The 2886-nt window shown below is 41.9% G+C and overlaps 1 protein-coding gene across 28 annotated transcripts in view; it reads left to right on the top strand.

The window, feature by feature from the left end:
• ENOX1 (ecto-NOX disulfide-thiol exchanger 1) overlaps nucleotides 1–2886 on the top strand; it is a 573843-nt gene that overhangs the window by 150009 nt on the left and 420948 nt on the right. The window lies entirely within an intron of this gene.

Below are 2886 nucleotides of genomic sequence, written 5' to 3'. Positions count from 1 at the left end.
GTGAGCTATGACAGGACTTATGTTCCAAACCTTTCATTCATGGTCCTGTTTTCCCTAGTGCACTATGGAACATAGAATATGCGCTTGCCTGCCTACCGTCTCTTCTTCCCTCCCTCCCTTTTCCTTAGTGTATTCTCAAAGCTGCACCTTCTTTGCTAGTGATTGATTGCTGTGTCCCAGAATTTCTTCAGTGGCTGATTTCCTCCTCTCCTTAGCACTGTTCCTTCCTGACTTGTCTTCCTGGATCTCTGCCACCCGTGCCGTTGGTTATGCTGTTGCCATGTCTACTTTCCACAGGATTTCTGTGAAACAAGGTGGAATGTTCTGGACATCTATTTTGTAATGTGATTATTTCCTCTAGATTTGTTGAATAATTGAAAGTGTCAAATATAGGATAATTTTTGCTAAGAGAATATTTGTAAGAAGAGCTTCCTGACAAAAGTTCGTGGGCCACAGAGTTTTCCAGGGAGGCCAGGGAGACTATTGGGATGAGAAAATCAAGACCCTGTAAGGTTTAATGATAATGCTCAAAGACAAACAGCAAGTTACACTGGAACCTGGGCAGACACTAGATAATCTGCTGGCTCTTCCAGAGTTATCTTCCCATGGTTCCATGAAACAGTTATTAACCAGACTTTAAATGCAAAAACTTCACCTTCAAGAAGATGTTATCGTTTGAAATTGGATGTGATGTCCTGCTACTACCAATAACAGGAGGCCCTTTTATAGTATTTGCTGTATGTCACTATTATTTGCGTGACCATGAGCATGGGACCCAGTGCTCTTGACCCATCATCAGCTCTGCCCACTTGTTGTCTCTTAGTTACAGCAAAACTTCTGTGCCCGAGTTCTCCAACCTCAGGCAGCCTGAGGTGGTGTAGGACAGAACTCTCTTAGTTATTTGGTCCCCACTCTAGGAATGAAGCCCTACCTAGCTGTGCTGACAGCAATTCTGGCTGTGTTGGGGCTGCGTTTCCCCAGAAGGTCAGTCCCATGATAGGGCCCTGCTTCTTCCCCATTGATTGATAGTTGTGTGCTGACTGGTGCGAGAGGGCTTATGAGAACTGCTGGCCCCCTTTCTGCATCTTGCCCTAGTTCCTGAAACTAGCTGTTCTTTTGCCCCTGGATTGAGGTCAGAGTGAGCATTATGTTTTGCCCATTTCAGTGCATGTGTGTGCTCGCTCGCTCTCTCTCTCTCCCTCTCCTTTATCTCTCTGTCTCTTTAACTGCAAGTCTAATGCAAGTTGTGGCCCTTCCTTTCCTGCCTTATCTGCCTATGAGTAGCTGACAAGATCCAACAAAATCCTGATATACATCATATTTTATATTGGATAATTTTAGACATTCTCACTTCTCACATGTGGAAATTACAGGAAATATATGAGCTGAACATGTATTTTTACATTTCAAATAGAGTGGAAGATTTCCTTCTAGCACGTTTATCTCTGTCAAAGACCAAAAAAGTCATACATTTATTCTTTTTATATTATATTTTTTTCCTTAGTTTCTTCATAGGAAACAGCACCGGGTGCTGAGTAATTAATACAATTGTGGCTTTGCTTTTTGTAACGGACATTTGTTGAAAGAAATGCTCATCAGTAGAAAGGATAATTTTGATAAATTGCTTCAGCTTTCATGCTTACCTACTCTCTTCTGGTGGCACCAAATCCCGGTTTTAAGTCTGAATAAAACTAAGCTGAATGACTTTTCCAGTGGAGCTTCCATTTCCCACTGATTACTTACAGAGTTTTTCTCTTATACCCCCTTTTGGAGTCTGTTCTCTTTTATCACTTCACAGGTATTAATCCCCTTTTTATCCCCTACTGTCTACCTTTATTTCTACCCAGATTTCAGGCTTTCTGTGTTCGTTAATGCTTTCCTTCATTCCTTTCTCTCCCCTTGCTTCTGATCTTCCAGGCAGCTGCCATAGAAACGTTCCCCTGTTCCCTGCACACATACACAATAAATGGGTTCTTGGTCCTTGGGGGAATTAATACCCTGGAGAGCCACCATGCCTGATTAGTAAGCAGCAGATACAGCCACCATGATGTAGAAACATGTTCTAAGAGTGGTGTGTGCCCACCTACAACTTCTGTGTTTATGACCTCTTTTGCCCATTAACATTGTTATTTTATGTTTGAACTTTTAATTACAAAAGAACATGTTTATAATATCACCTGGCTGATAGACCCTGAGGCAGCCTCTCCCACCTTTCCACTTACATACCCATGATGACATAAAAAGATAAAAACATATTGGTAGAAAATAAGACTGATGGCCTTTTGCAGGATTTCTAGAGGAATTTCTGCTGATTACAAGATGGATGGAGCTGAATTGAGAATAACTATCATTAGCCAACACTGGATTTCTGTAGCAGTTAGAAAGCCTGGGCAGCCGTCTCCTGTGGGTACTGCTTTTTGACCTGTTCCATATATTGTTGCAGAGCTCCTTCTCTACAACACCCTTTTAAAATATCTACATAGACAGCATCTCCCAGAAATTTACTATCCTTGTTTAGTAGGTCGTGCTGGAGAAGAAGAATGAAATCCATCGTAGGTGGTAAATCTCCCTCTCCTCTGTAACACACCATCCAAGTATGTAACTGGAAGCAGGAAGAGCTTGTCTAGCACTGGGTGCATGTATTGTGGCTTTCCTTGTACTCTTTGATGGGAGTTTGGAGTAAATAAATATGCAACAATAGGAAATAATACACCTCAGCCCAGTTGCTTAGGTTAGTCCAGGATGAAAACTTGCTAAACATTAAAAGTGTGCAGACCAACTTGCACTATAGGATGGAACCCAGAAAGAGATTCAGAAGCTACCACCCAAGGGGTTTTGCCAGCAGGAGAGTACACATATTATCTGTTGGCCGGTTCAAATATGAAT

The sequence above is a fragment of the Homo sapiens genome, chromosome 13 (genome assembly GCF_000001405.40).
Source record: "Homo sapiens chromosome 13, GRCh38.p14 Primary Assembly".
Taxonomy (NCBI): Eukaryota; Metazoa; Chordata; class Mammalia; order Primates; family Hominidae; genus Homo; species Homo sapiens.
This window is presented reverse-complemented; position numbering and strand designations above follow the sequence as displayed.